Raw genomic sequence first — 15,494 nt, 5'->3', positions numbered from 1 at the left:
ACACCTGTAATTCCAGCACTTCGAGAGGCCGAGGCGGGTAGATCATCTGAGGTGAGGAGTTCGAGACCAGCCTGGCCAATATGTGAAACCCTGTCTCTACTAAAAATACAAAAATTAGCCAGGCATGGTTGCAGCACCTGTAATCCCAGCTACTCGGGAGGCCAAGACAGGAGAATTGCTTGAATCCGGGAGGCAGAGGTTGCAGTGAGCTGAGATGGGCCACTGCACTCCAGCTTGGGCAGCAGAGTGAGACTTGGTCTCAAAGAAAAGTTATTGTGATATGCTGTACACATTCACAAATTCAGTGTCTCCCAGAAGTGTGAGATTCTTTTTTTTTTTTTTTTTTTTTTTTGAGACAGAATTTCACTCTTGTTGCCCAGGCTGGAGTGCAATGGTGTGATCTTGGCTAACTGCAACCTCCACTTCATGGGTTCAAGCAATTCTCCTGCATCAGCCCAAGTAGCTCCTGCCTCCCAAGTAGCTGGGATTACAGGCATGTGCCACCATGCTCAGCTAATTTTTTATTTTTAGTAGAGTTGGGGTTTCTCCACGTTGGTCAGGCTGGTCTCGAACTCCCGACCTCAGGTGATCCACCCGCTTCGGCCTCTTGAAGTGCTGGGATTACAGGTGTGAGCCACCATGCCCAGCCAGAAAGTTTTAAGGCTATGATTATTAGACCATCACACACACACAAAGTACTTAAAAAGTCTCAGGAATGCTGTCCCTCATTGGCCTGGTATGACAAAGATAAGAAGTCGGTCGTGAAAATTTCTGAATGTGGTTTAGGACAAGGAACCCCAGTAAGATTCAGAGACAACCTAGAAAATTGAAAGAAAATTTTACTACTGAAATCATCCTTCTATAAAAAATAATAGAAGATGTCAAATATGAAAATAAAACTGTCCTCTGGGCCCTCAATTTTCTGTGTTATGGGAGAAGGCAGACAGCTACTCAGCAGTTATATCCCATAAGAATGGATAATACTAAAACAACTGACAGCATCAAGTATTGGTTGGAAAGTGGAACTGATTCTCTCATTTTCATTGTAGTTTAAGATGGCATAACCACTTAGGAAAATGTCTCCCCATTTCATACAATGCCAAATATATACTTATTTTATAACCCAGAAAATCCACTCTTATGTACTTAAACTCAAGAAAAGTGAAAATATTATTACAGAAAAAAATATGTATATCTGATTTGTTCGTAGCAGGTTTATTCATGATAGCCTCAAATCAGAAACTGCTTTTGTGTCTATCAATAGTGGAATGGATTAAAAACAAAACAAGCAAAGGCCTCAAACCTGTGGTATAGTCATAAAATTGAATATTACAAAATAATGAATAATCAATAGGAGCAAAATGATGTGTCACAAGCATGTTTAGTGAGTGAACATAAAAATTATATAATTTATAGTTTCACTTACATAAATGGTGAAAACAGACAAAACTAACCTTTTGTGGAAAGAATCAAAACCGTGGAAGCCTCTGTGTTCAAATACTGACTGGAAATGAGCAGGAGAAAACATGTTTCTGCCAGATCTTCTATATGCCTGATGTGCATTCACTCGATGTATTTTGCGTATACTATTTTTGCAAATAAAACTGAGATAAAGGCAAAATAACTCAAGAGAAAATAGGTAGAAATAGGTAGAGTTGGGATAGAAGCCTTGGAAGCTACCCCTGTACCTTGCCCACCTGGCACAGGCCGAGGAAGTCCTGGGACAATGCTGTGAGCGACCTGAGGGCCGTCCAGGGGAGCCCCGCCAGCCCATGCTGGCGCCCGAGCTGCCCGCCGCCATCTGAATATGTTGCAAAGACAGTGCTGGCTTGGCAACCGGTGACGCTCCACGCCCCACCCCGACCCCCACTTCTACCCAAGTAGTGGCAACGCTAGAGACAGATGCCTGGGCGGCAGCGGTTAAGTCTGGCAGTTGGCCAGGCGGCCAAAGGACGGGAACTGGCTGTTCACCCCATCCCAGTTCCACAGAGAACTCAACCACTATGGCCCCTGAGCGGACCTTCAGGCCTGGTGGGCTGTGCTCTGTGCCCGCAAACCTGACGCCATCCAGGGGAGCTCCGCCTTCCCGCGCCAGCGCCTCAGCTGCTGCAGAAAACTGCAAAACTGCAAGTTGCACACGGGCAGAGATGACGGAGCAACCCCCAACCCTCCGCGCCACTCACCCTACCTGCACACCTGCCGCGCGGACCCTGGGGCGGGTGCCTGGGCGCCCAAGTCAGGCAGTCCGCACAGCAGTGGCACCAGGGTGAAAACCTGCTGCTCGGTACCATCCCGGTTACCACGAAGAGCCAGTCCCGGCGGCCCCTGCGTTCTTGGAGGAGGCCAAGTCAGAGCAACCTCTCAAGTGGGAGGGCGATGCACTTGACCCTGAGGACATCAGGTACCAGGCCCGCCAGCTCACGCCGGCATCGGAGCCGCAGCTGCAGTCTAGACGTGGTGCACCGGCAGCAAGTGACTGGACACTCCAGACCAGGCCCGCCCCGCAGTAGCGTGGATCCTGAGGCCAGACCCCCAGGCGGCAAAATCAGGCAACCGGCCCCGCCAGCAGCCGCTGTTTCATCCGTGTGGACACAGAGTGCCCAGCGCCAGGGCCCAGGATCCAGAAAGATGTCCAAGAGGAGCGGACCTTGAGGCCAGGTGGGCTGTGCGCTCTGCGGCCCTGAGGCCATCCAAAGGAAGCTCCGCCAACCTGCGCCAGTGCCAGATCTGCAGCTGCAAACCGCGCGTGTGGCACTGGCAGCAGTGAGGGCGGGTGGGGGAAGGAGCAGCCCCTGACTCTGCCTCCATCCCTCTCCAGCTACCTGACACTAGCCACACAGATTTCAGGGCCAGAGCCTCAGCGTTCAGCCAATCCGCGAAGCCACTCAGGTGGCCGCGGAGTGCCCTTGCCAGCACCGTATCTCCCTTCCGAGGAGGAGCGGGGCGGGCTGCAAGGCCAGACAGGCCCTCCTTCTCAGGCCGGGCTGGCTGCGCGCCTGCGATCCTGGGGCCGCCCGGGCGATCCCAGGAGAACCGGCGAGCCCATCGGCGCACGCCCGGAGCTGCAGCCCCACCTGCTGGCGCGCGCCTCTAGGGAGCGTCTTCCGGGAGCCCGGCAGCAACCGCGGTGCAGGCGCGCGCCGCCAGGGAGCGTCTTCTGGGAGCCCGGCAGCAACTGCCGTGCAGGCGCGCGCCCAACGGCTTTGCGAGGCTCACTCGGTCTGAGAGGTCGGAGGCTGCGAGTGTCGCTGCTGAAGGCTGTGGTGGACCGGGCTGGATCGCGGATTGTGGAGTAGATTATAGATTTGAAATAGCGGAGTTGGGGTTGGATCGGGGCTTTGGGGTTGGATAGGGGATTTGGGGCTGGGTCGGCCGGGGTCGGGGAGGGGGGTGGTGAAAAGGTGACAGGGAGCTGCCCTCGCTCAAGAGCCGGTGGTTGGGGGTCTGAGAAGAAGTCACCAATATGAAGTTATTCGGCTTCGGGAGCCGCAGGGGCCAGACGGCCCAGGGCTCCATAGACCACGTCTACACGGGTTCCGGATACCGAATCCGGGACTCCGAACTGCAGAAGATCCACAGGGCAGCTGTCAAAGGCGACGCCGCGGAGGTGGAGCGCTGCCTGGCGCGCAGGAGCGGAGACCTGGACGCCCTGGACAAGCAGCACAGGTAGCGGGGGCTCAGCCGGGGGTGGGAGGGGGCCCCCAGGCCCGGCTTCCCCGCAGACCCTGGGACGGGGCCGTGCAGGGCGCCGGGCACCCTCGGAGCGGCGGAGCCAAACGGACTCTCATCTGTTTTCCATCCCTCATAATTCCCTGGCTGGAGCAGTTGGAGAATTTGAGTGATTTAACTCACAAAGTTAAGCATATACAGCGTTGTTATTTTTAACGTACACGTTTAAAACATGGTTTATATACATTATAGGAGGTGCCTAATGAGAGTACTTGTTCCCCTATCAAAAATAACCGTGAGTTGTTTCAGTGGGCGAAAAGTTCTCAGATAAGAGAGCTTACTTGAAAAATATTTACTATATTATATATATATATTTTTTCAGATGAAAAGTATGTTTTCATTTTATAGGGAATTCATTATATTCTTTTTTTTTTTTTTTGAGTCGGAGTCTCGCTTCTTTGCCCAGGCTGGTGTCCAATGGCACAATCTTGGCTCACTGCAACCTCTGCCTGCCGGGTTCAAGCAATTTTCCTACCTCAGCCTCCCAAGTAGCTGGGATTGCAGGCAGGTGCCAGCATGCCTGGCTAATTTTTGTATATTTAGTTTCACCACGTTGGCCAGGCTGGTCTCGAACTCCTGACCTCAAGTCATCTGCCCGCCTCCGCCTCCCAAAGCGCTAGGATTACAGGTGTGAGCCACCGCGCCTGGCCTATGTTGTTTATTATATATCATAAGATATATATATATTACTGATATGTATACATATATAACACATATAATATGTTATATATATCAGTTATATATACACATTAGATGAAAAGTACCTCTTCATTTTACAGGAAATTCTTTCAAATCAAATCATCAAACACTCTAAAAGTGGGCAAAGTACCTTTTTCCAGATCTACAAGTTACTTATATACATAGGAAAAAATCCTTCGCATTTCTGGTATAAGAATTTAAACTAAAAGAGGAATGAAACAGTTTTCTATCCACAATATTTGTGAGGATGTTTTATACTGCTGCTTGAAGTTGCTGATTACTTTTCAAAGTACTCATTTGAAAATGGTAAGTACTACATTTAAAAAATGTGTATGCCCTTTACCCACCAATTCCATTATACTAAAATACCCTTAGGAAATAAAGATACATGCACTTTATTTTTCACAGTACTTACTTTAAAGAGAACCCATAGAATGGATCCTATAAATAAATTTCAGTTGCATCCATAGGATGGAATAATATGTGACCACTGAAGGTGGCAGTAGATACAGAAGTACGTTGATGTGCAAAGATGTATTTTGTTATAGCTAGCAAGGAGAAAAAATTAGTTAAATTATACATACACAAACATACTATGGTCTTGTTTTAGCAAAAATATGTACAAAATATAAAATTTGTAATTTCTGAGCATTTGTATTTTAAGTAAAGTTTTTTTCCTTTTTCTTATCTGTGATTGCTGCAGTGAGTACAAAACTTCTAGTAAAAGTTTATTATTAATGGACTAATCCTTGGGAAGAGAGGAATATGAATCTTGCGCTGATGAAAATAATTTCTCACTTTCTATTTTTTATCATTATTGTGTGTGTTGTTATCTTCTTTGAGCTTTTAGCCTCTTCAGAAGTAAAAAAGGAATGTTTTTATCTGTTTCCAGATTTTATTATCTATATATTTTATTATGTACATATGTTTTGCTTATATACTCATTCCATTTATGCAAACATAATCATTTCATTTTAATTGTGTTCTTTAAAAATAAAACAACACATATAAATAATTACTATTGCAAAAATATTGCTTTATAGGAGTTTATTTAAAAATAATGAACTCCCCAACTGTATTTATCCATTCTTTCATTCCATTTATGGATCAAGCATAACCTGAGTACCTGCTATGTAGCAGACATATTCTATCATCTCTCAGGACCCGTCCATCCTTAAACACTTCATGTTTACCTGCCCCGCCTGCACAAGCTGAGAGATTTAAAATAGGAATATTGGGACTTAATCTCCTTGAAACTTTATCTCCCACCTTTCAAACAAAAGCATTTCTGAAGTTAGAAAATAGTAGAAGATAACCTTTAACTGCTCTTTCGAAAGTTTATCAGTCTTAAATACTAATATTAATCATTGGAAAGTCGTATTTGCATATATTTTCTAAGTATAAATATTGAATACAATGAGCCATATGTATTCATTTGAATCATGAGTTTCCTTTGGTTTCAAGTTGTTTGAAAATCAAAGAATTAATTTGTTTAAAAAATGCATTATTGTTATTTCAGTGCTCTTTCCCCATAGTACCTTTAAGAACTAAAATGTATTTAAGTTTCAGTTACATGCCTAGAACTGCCCTAGACCTGCTGAGTATACCATATTCTACTTAATGTAAGGTCTCATGGATTGCGTGATGCCCCGATATTTTATATATCAATAAGATAATTTTTAAAATGCTACCAATTATAGTTATAACAAATCATGAATTATAAGTGGCATTCCAATGTCAGAGGTGTTAAAATGTGACCTACTCGTTAAGTCATCTTGCAAAGTAGGTATAATTGTATCATTCTACCTAATTAAAATGGTTTTGTTAAGTAGTAGTAATAGTAATAATTATAATATCTGGCTGGGTGCAGTGGCTCACACCTGTAATCCCAGAACTTTGGGAGGCTGGGGTGAGAGGATTGCTTGATGCCAGGAGTTTGAGACCAGCCTGGGCAACAAAGTGAGATTCTTACTCTACAAAAATTTTTAAATAAATAGCTGGGCATGCTGGTGCTCATCTGTAGTCCCAGCTACTCAGGAGGCTGGGGATGGAGGATCATTTGACCCAGGAGTTCCAGGTATAGTTACACCATTGCACTCCAGCCTGGGCAAAAGAGTGAGACTTTGTCTCAAAAAACAAAAATCTTACAATTATTGAGTTGTCGTAGGAACTGTTCTACATACTTTACATAGCTTCTCATTTAAGCATCACGATGGTGTCCTATGAGATAGCTACTATTGTCATCTTTATTAATGAGGAAGTTGAGGTACAGAAAGGCTAAGCAATAGTTGGTAAGTGTCAAGGCTTAAAGTAGGACTCAAGCCCTAGTTGAACCGAATCCAAAGACTGAGCTCTTTCTACTCAAATAGGCTGCTGTTTTCATTAAGGCAGTGAGCAATAAGAGCTAGTAAGTATTGTACTTTCTTCAAAAAATTTATTTGTTTTGAAGGCAGAGGAAAAACATGCTATTCAGTTTTTACATTACATGAATGATTGTATGTTTTGAGATATTGTACTACAGTTTCTTAAAAAATCCTCTTACTCTCATAGAACTGCTCTACACTTGGCCTGTGCCAGTGGCCATGTGCAAGTGGTCACTCTCCTGGTTAACAGAAAATGCCAGATTGATGTCTGTGACAAAGAAAACAGAACGCCTTTGATACAGGTATATTAGAGCCAACTCTTTTAGCATGACATGGATTTGATTTACATATATAGAATTAAAATAAATTGATCTCATTTACATATAACTAGTTGGTGAAACCTGTGGAATGTGTATTTTGAATTCTTGGAATTTACAATCTGTTTCTTGGTCTAACACGGACAGGCTGTCCATTGCCAGGAAGAGGCTTGTGCCGTTATTCTGCTGGAACATGGCGCCAATCCAAACCTTAAGGATATCTACGGCAACACTGCTCTCCATTATGCCGTGTATAGTGAGAGCACCTCACTGGCAGAAAAACTGCTTTCCCATGGTGCACATATTGAAGCACTGGACAAGGTATAGGTCAATCAACTTTCTTTCCAAAATATTTGTTTTAACATTGACATAGGTAAGGGTCAATTTTTTATATTTGGAAGCTCAACCATTCCCTGAATGCAAATACAAATTAAGTTATTTTGAAATAACTTAATTGTCTAAGATTTTATTTTAAATATTGATATTTTTAAAGAAGCATTAAAGGGCACAGCTTTATAAAATGCACTTTGGAAAATATTTGTGAATTTGTTAAAGGTAAAACCTTTTCAACTTTTTTTCTACACAGGCTTATTCTTTTTTTTTTTTTTTTCTTAATTAGTGTAAAACAACACAGGAAAGAAAATATTCCCCGGAATTAGGCTTTATCTTAAAACTCAAACAAAACTAAAGCAACTTACAATAAAGGGACATGTTGCTGTTGCTGCTAATTTTCTGAAAAACTGATGTATCATCTTTCAGTGGCAAGGCTTAAGAGGGAAAAATGGGAGGGGAGAAAGAGAGCAATCAGAAATATGCAGGTCACTTGGATATTAGATAATGAGGGAAAATGCCAGGAAGAGGTTTTTTTTTGTTTTTAAGTTTGTTTTATGTGTTGAGACAAGGTGCTGTTTAGCTTTGGGTCTAATAATTTTTGGTTTGAAAAAGAATGAATTGCAACTTGCCTAGAGATGAATTTTAGGAGGACTCTGAGGAAACCAGATTGGCAGTGAATATGTGGTGACGAAGTGAGAAACACTTCAGCAGAAGGTGGAACAAATTATTAACTGACTTATTGCTCATCCTGGCAGAAACAGCCACTTAGATAAGAACCTAAAGCCTCCTCTCAAATCTAGAATGTCTTAGTGGGAAGGTGGGAGATAAGGAGCTTGTAAATAGCAAAATCAAGTGGGATTTTGAGTTTACTTGTCCCTGTTCTACCCGTAGCCAGGAAACTTAACTGGAGTTTTAATAAATGACACTATCTCTTACTCTTTTCTCTTTTTGGCCACATCTCCAACTGATAAAGGAATTAGCCATGTGGGTGAGAGGTGAGACTGAAGTGATTGTCTGCTGCACTGATTCTCAGAATTGTGCATTACAGTGACCTGAGGACATTTTGTTAAAAATCTACAATTGTAGGCTTTCCCCTGAAGATTTTGATGTAATAGACCTATTAAGGCCTGAACGTGTTTAAAAATGTTTTCTTGAAGCTGGGCACAGTGGTGTATTCCTGTAGTCCCAGCTTGAGCCTAAGAGTTTGAATCCAGCTTGAGCAACATAGTGAGACTCTTGTCTCTAACAACAATAATAGCCAAAAAAAAACCCCACAAAAAAACAAAAAACCTTCAAGGTTGGGATACACTCTTGATTAAAAACCCCAGAATAGATAAGTGCAATATATAAATTTCTGTATCTCAAAAATGTAAGAAATCTCTAGAAGAGTTGGCATTTGATAGTTGCCACTTCCTTCAAAGTTCTCCTTTTCAATTATATTAGCCTGACTTATCTGTCTTTCTCTACATCTGTGACTGGGAAGTGAAAGGTAATATCATTGGCAATATCTCTCAGCTTACAGAATAACATGTTTTGCTTCCCACCATGAATCATTCACTACCATTCAGAGAGTCTTCAGAAATTTGCTTATGAGTAATCTTTCAATAGGTAGAGGCTGACCCTTTCATGATTTCATGTCCCTTTGTCACCACGCAGGTGATTATGTGTCAACAAATGTTCATTACAAGTTTGGCTTTCTCAATTAGAATAGTAGCAAATCCTAAACTATTTTTTTTAGTTGAAGTTTTGTTATGAACTATCTCAGTATGTTTGTTAAGTTTATAGAACTTTAGCATACCCAAAATGTCAGTTTTAAACACTGAAATCCATGAAGTTAATAAGAATATAGATAGGAATTCTTTTAATAATTTAGTTTTAGCAGTCTTGTGAACCAATTATCTATTTGGTTAACAATCTGGGAAAATTATATACAAACATATTTTAAATGAATACATGTTGGAAAAATTCTTGAAGCAGGTATTGTGAGTCTTTTTAGCAATTTTTATTATATATGAGAGCCTGATTTTTTGGTAGAACATATGATACCAGAGAAAGAAAATATTTTACATGAAAATACTTGGATTATACACAACCATTTAGTAACACATTAATAGCGAATATAAAAAAAACAAGGGCTGTATTCTAATGTGGTACACAGATTTGTTTGTTTGCCTCTATAAGTTGAATCAACATGTAAAATTTAGAAGACTCGTGAAGAAATGTGGACTTCAGGCATATCCTAAAAAATCAAATCTGGTGTCCCCTGAGTTTCTATCATTCTTTGGTCTGCTGTGCAGAAGTTGCCCCTTTATAGAAGGCAGGTATTCTCCAGTTTGCTACTGTGCCCACCTTAGTACTTCCCTTACTCAGGCAACCTTCCTTTGTCCTTGTAAGTATCTGAGTTTACAACTCCTATGTTATAGTATATTTTGATAAAAATTTCAAGGTTTTTAAGTCAGCATGTATTTGTTTATAATATATAGTCTATAGAGTATATAAATCCCTCAGTTATGGAGTTGAATTTTAGAGTTTAGAAGTTTTTAACTCTTTTCTTTATATATACCACAAATAATTCTCTGCCCATAAGAATGCCTAGAAGCCTTTTTAGGTTATTCCTGGTTATAGTTGGATAATTTATGAATATTGCAGACAGTACATCCTTCTCCTCAGTGCTCTTCCTTAAGGATGCAAGTGACTTATTGGCTTGTATTATGCCAGAAATAATCCATGTGGATCAGTATGAGAACTTCTATTGATAAGCCATTATGTTTTTATTTCTGATTTATATTTTGTCTAAAATAAAAAATAATTTTAAGTAGCCATTTAAGTGGAAGCCAGTAAAAATGGATTTAAAAAGTAGAGCTGCACTAGGGTCCCGGGATTACCATTATAATTGAGAATAGTATTTCTTACTGAGTTTTGGTTTTTAAAATATTTGTTCTTAAGTTTTTTAAACCTATCTCTCTTACACAGAATATACTGAGCTTTCTAACAGTAAAGATAAAAATCTCTTCTCTTGTATTAGGGGAAAAACCCATGGACTATTTAATAATAAGGAAAATAAATGCATTTGAAGCCAATCTCTCTTAATTCAAAGCTCATTTCCATGGTGACCCATTTGGAGCAGGAGTGCCTGACATTGGCATCTGGGATCCTGACACCATTGATAAAAGTGAATCAAGCAAGTTTGTACCACCCAGAGGGAACTGCCACCTGTATTGGGAAGCTCTGGCAACTGTATCTCTGAAACTCTTAATTCCTCAAATGTTAATGTTTGCCACAAATAGTATTGTGAAAGGGGATTAGGTGAAATTAAAGAGATTTCTTGATTATTGGACATAAAATACAGTTTTGTAATACTTCTCAAATACAGATGGTCATGGAGTCTTTCTCTTGCGGTATAATACTTCTGATAAAGCAAATATTCTTTGGAATATAGTTTAAGAGACACTGCTTTAGAGATAGTAATTTAGATCATTAATTAATGTAAAAAACTTAAAATATTTGCTACTGTGTCTTAGGGTTTTAGGCCCTTGCCTCAAGAAGCTCTTGGTTTCAGTGGGAAACAATGAAATGACTACAATGTACCATGATAAGTGCTGTGATCAAAGCAAGGATTCTTGGGACTAGTAAATGTTTAAAGTGAGTTTTGGCAATGACCACAGTTAATCCAGGGAGACAGAGGAGGGTTGTTTGCAAGGCAAAGCACAGCACATCAGAAAGCACAGAGGAGTGAGAATGAAGGGACTGCTTTTCATTTACTTCCTTTCTATATTGTATGTTGAAGTTCAAAGCATCCTGGAGAAGATTTTCAGTTCAGTTGAGAAATATGTAATTTTGTGAATTATTAATTTTTTCTGCTGTTTTATAGGACAATAATACCCCACTTTTATTTGCTATAATTTGCAAGAAAGAGAAAATGGTGGAATTTTTATTGAAAAGGAAAGCAAGTTCACATGCCGTTGATAGGCTGAGACGGTACAGTAGTTCTTTTTTTAAAAATAAAACCTGAGTATTCTAGAGTGGTCACTCAAGTCAGAAATATTAATAAGAAGATTAACATAATTATTGGCATATAATGAAAAATATCACCATGAATAATCAGGTAGACAAGCAAATATTTGGACTGAGTAACATAAAGAATAGTATATAGTAGGATTCATCTTCTCTTATAATATACAGAGTTTGGTATTTATAATCAGATGTTTTTCGTACTGTAATCTTTTATTAGCTAAAGGGTTTTGTATTAGTTTTATTAATTTTTTTTTTTTTTGAGATGGAGTCTTGCTCTGTTGCCAGGCTGGAGTGCAGTGGTGTGATCTCAGCTCACTGCATTCTCCACCTCCCAGGTTCAAGCGATTCTCCTGCCTCGACCTCCCAAGTAGCTGGGACTACAGGTGCACGCCACCATGCCCAGCTAATTTTTGTATTTTTAGTAGAGATGGGATTTCACCATGTTGGCCAGGATGGTCTTGATCTCTTGACCTCGTGATCTGCTCTCCTTGGCTTCCCAAAGTGCTGGGATTACAGGCATGAGACACTGCACCTGACAAGTTTTATTCATTTTCAAAGTGTGGACTTTTAGTTTATGACTACTAGCATTGTCATTATTATTATTGTTGTTGTTGTTGTTTTCAGCCTGCAGATAACTCTTATCTGACCCCTAGCTGATTTGACTAGGAAAGCAATGGGGAAATCTTCATCTAAATCTTTGCCTACTTTAGATAAGTGACCTCAGCACAGTTTCTTGGCCATCAAAGGACTATAAGTTAGCAACTTGTATTATGTCTTACCCCAGTGGGACAAGAGGCTTCCCTGTTGTCCCTTTCTTTTAGCCTTGGTGACAATTTACAAAGATGAACACTTGAGCACCCTAGATGCTTATAGACCCAAGCTAGTACATGCAAATAGTTATTACATCTATACTGACAGGCGGATATTAAACTGGTAAAGTGTATCAAACTAGCTTTTTAAAAAAGTCTTTATTAAAGTTCTTGAGTGGAGTTATTTCTTTGTTGTTTTAGGTCAGCTCTCATGCTTGCTGTATACTATGACTCACCAGGTATTGTCAATATCCTTCTTAAGCAAAATATTGATGTCTTCGCTCAAGACATGTGTGGACGAGATGCAGAAGATTATGCTATTTCTCATCATTTGACAAAGTAAGTGTTTATGTTAAAAGGCCAGTTAATGCTAAATTGAAGTTTAAAATAATTGCAACTACTCCATCTTATGCATTAGGTGAGAGTTCATAGTTTGGTTCAGATAGTTTGAAATAGCGAAGAGTTAGTCTACCTTTTAGCCAGAAATCAAGCAGAAGTCTAGATTAGTTAGAAGTAGAGTGCGAGATTTTTTCTGGATTTTTGAGACATTTATCCCTAGGGATCTCAATGTTATTCATTTTATTCTAAGTATAATCCCCATGCATGGGATAAAAAGAGCCATGTCTTTGATTTCTTTTCCTTTCCTTTCCTTTTTTTTTTTTTTTTTTTTTTTTGTAGAGACAAGGTCTCACTCTGTTGCCCTGGCTGGTCTTGAACTTTTGAGGTCAAGTAATCCCCCTGCCTCGGCCTCTGAAAGTGCTAGCCACCATGCCTGGCCTGACTTTTCTAATTAGTTATTGAGTCTTGTAATGTCCAGTTTAACAGAAAATCATGTATTGTCCCCTGGGGCTCTCTCCTGTGTCTTCCTTCTTTGAATTTTCCAAGAAGCTAAGGGGTTTCCTAAGTCCAAGGAAGGCAATCTTTCTTTACAAGTCAGAAGAAGGGGAAAAAAGGCCATTCTAATCATTCTGTTGTTTCCATGGACTCACTTGCTGTATTATTGCCATTATAACTGGTCCTGCAATCTGATAATGATTGACCTTTGCCACCAGGATGCCTTCACTGATTCAGACCCCTCAGTTTTCATGGTGATTCATATATAGAGGTCAAAGCTACGGTGTTTATTAGTTTATGTACTTGTGCTCAGTCATTGTTCCCAGCACCCTGCTCTGGCAGCTAGGCCTCCTAGCTTTATCCACACAAATATTGAGCAAGTTGATGCTCACCCTACACTAAAAACCTTATTTGGAGCCCACGTCTTAGCTAGACTTTGCCTAGGCCTTCGTGGTATGTTATCCTTTGAGAGCCATGTTTGTCTTTCCTTTAACCAATATTAGTTGGGATTGTTCTCAATAGTCAGGGATGTTCAAATAATGTTGCAGGAAGAGATCAGAGTTCCCTGTCTCTTTTGCTATCAGATCTGTACCTTGAGGCTTTTTTATATCCTGTGCAGCAGCTTTGGTTAGATAGCGGAATGTTCCATGTTATCTTTCCACTGAGTAGTGGGAACCAGCTTGCAGTTGGCCCCTCAAGTAATGTGTCTCTATAATCATGAAAATCTCCTGGGCTACTTGCAGCTCTTCCTCAAGTTTTCAATATATTTTAAAATTCTACCTCACAGGAAGCCATTCAATAAAATTCTCTGAATCTGAAGTAAGTGAGTTGGATTTAATAGAGCTAAGCCTCATCCATGACTCATGAATATCCATGTATCAAACAGGGCTTTGTACTTATTTCAACAGCACATATTTTAAAATTGGATCAATACAGAGCAGATAAGCATGGCTACTGCCTAGGGATGGCACACAAATTCAGAAAACATTCCATATTTTGCCTAGTCCCAGGTAGGCCATTTGACTATTTGTTGAGTAGCTCCAAGGAAGCAGTGTGAGCAAAACCAAAACAGGTGACACGCAATATTGAAATTGTGATTATCGCTATGAAACTATTGATGTATGGTGATCTCTGAAATGGGAACAGAGCTGAGTAATAAGGGGATGTTACATGTTGTTAGTACATGTCTTGGAAATGAGAAAATGTCAACTTGTATTTCCTTCATGGAACTGAAAAACAATCAAAGCAGGGTTTTGTCTTGTCTGTTAGTTGGAGAGGACCATGGAGATCCAGCAGCCAAGCACAGATCTGCTGGCTCAGAGTTTGAGGAGGTAGAGAAGGAGTGGTAGTTGTCCAAGCCAGGTTTTGACACCTATTAGTTTTCTGCCCTTGGTGTGATTGATGAGCTCAGTGATGAGCTCACTAAATTTATATATATAGAAATTTAGTAATAAGTTATGAATTAGGTAAAATGCCCTGAATTACAAGCCACAATGAATACAAGTAATAACCAAAATTAGCACTTAATAACATTTTCTGAAAACTGCAACATTTGAGTATTAGAACTTACAGAAAAACACACACCGAGCATTATTTGGGATTCCAAAATGGTTTCAGCAATAAAGTTCAAGAATAAATTATTCCATTGCTTTACTATTTCTCTGAACATATAAACATGTAATCTCATTACATCTTCCAAACAACCTAGTGAAGTAAGGTAGCAGAATCCTTGTTTTTTAGAAGAAACCATGGAGCCTAAGAGAAGCAACTTGTCTGAAGACAAAATACCTACAGAGCGAGGTATTTTGGTTACAGAGCAAGGACTTACTCTGAGTGCAGGACACTTTGCATGATATCCAGCTAACTAGAGTTCATTTACTGAGCTGTGCTTCCTCCATTTATGAGTACTTCACTTTCTTTTCTTCTTTAATTATAAGCTTAATAAGCTTGTAAGGTTTACAAATTTGAAGTGTATGGGACATTAAAATTCTGATATTAGGTCTGATATTGCTTGAAAGTGTTTTGGAATTTAATATGTTTGGTGAATATTTTTTATTTCATTATAAAAATGGCAATTTTATTTATTACTTTTGTATACATAGAATTCAACAACAAATTTTGGAACATAAAAAGAAGATACTTAAAAAGGAGAAATCAGGTAAGACTTCTGATTGTGAATTTCTTACTTGTCTTGGTGGTCCTACTCTTGATAAGAAAATACAAAGTAAGATGTAAGATTAAGGTAGTTTCAGTCAAAAAAGACCAGTTTAAAAATATGTGTAAATTGAATGTGTATATATGTATATACATATGTAAATTAATTTTTAAAATTTAACTTCTTTAGTTTGAAATTCAGATTTATTTAAGAAGGTAGTTGTAGCTAATTTACAATCTCA

The 15,494-nt window shown here is 39.9% G+C and overlaps 2 pseudogenes across 6 annotated transcripts in view, besides 4 other annotated features; both read left to right on the top strand.

Annotated features, from left to right (window-relative positions):
• Positions 1,667-2,427: an enhancer, noted in NCBI's record as "H3K27ac-H3K4me1 hESC enhancer chr9:43134469-43135229 (GRCh37/hg19 assembly coordinates)". NCBI's record gives its function as "activates a minimal SCP1, AML or CMV promoter by ChIP-STARR-seq in primed H9 embryonic stem cells {active_cell/tissue: H9 hESC(primed)}" and the evidence as "EXISTENCE:reporter gene assay evidence [ECO:0000049][PMID:30033119]".
• Positions 2,428-3,188: an enhancer, noted in NCBI's record as "H3K27ac-H3K4me1 hESC enhancer chr9:43133708-43134468 (GRCh37/hg19 assembly coordinates)". NCBI's record gives its function as "activates a minimal SCP1, AML or CMV promoter by ChIP-STARR-seq in primed H9 embryonic stem cells {active_cell/tissue: H9 hESC(primed)}" and the evidence as "EXISTENCE:reporter gene assay evidence [ECO:0000049][PMID:30033119]".
• Positions 2,428-3,209: a biological region, named in NCBI's record as "H3K27ac-H3K4me1 hESC enhancer GRCh37_chr9:43133708-43134468".
• The window catches only part of ANKRD20A3P (ankyrin repeat domain 20 family member A3, pseudogene), a 59,242-nt pseudogene continuing 46,878 nt past the window's right edge, over positions 3,131-15,494 (top strand). For 4 of the 6 annotated variants that reach the window (XR_001746296.3, XR_001746295.3, XR_007061553.1 and 1 more), the window contains exons 1-6: positions 3,134-3,666; positions 6,979-7,093; positions 7,256-7,429; positions 11,313-11,419; positions 12,466-12,603; positions 15,201-15,256. The product of XR_001746296.3 is annotated as an ankyrin repeat domain 20 family member A3, pseudogene, transcript variant X2 (transcript). Of the gene's footprint in view, positions 3,667-6,978; positions 7,094-7,255; positions 7,430-11,312; positions 11,420-12,465; positions 12,604-15,200; positions 15,257-15,494 lie in introns of all 6 variants that reach the window. The other 2 variants (XR_007061556.1, XR_007061555.1) reach the window with 2 other exon arrangements.
• Positions 3,160-3,209: a silencer, noted in NCBI's record as "silent region_19926". NCBI's record gives its function as "represses an Ori minimal core promoter by ATAC-STARR-seq in GM12878 lymphoblastoid cells {active_cell/tissue: GM12878}" and the evidence as "EXISTENCE:reporter gene assay evidence [ECO:0000049][PMID:35858748]".
• On the top strand, positions 13,991-14,097 carry RNU6-538P (RNA, U6 small nuclear 538, pseudogene; annotated as a pseudogene).

The sequence above is a fragment of the Homo sapiens genome, chromosome 9, assembly GCF_000001405.40.
Source record: "Homo sapiens chromosome 9, GRCh38.p14 Primary Assembly".
Classification (NCBI taxonomy): Eukaryota; Metazoa; Chordata; class Mammalia; order Primates; family Hominidae; genus Homo; species Homo sapiens.
Note: the sequence above shows the minus strand (reverse complement) of the source record. Positions and strands in the feature narration are given on the sequence as shown.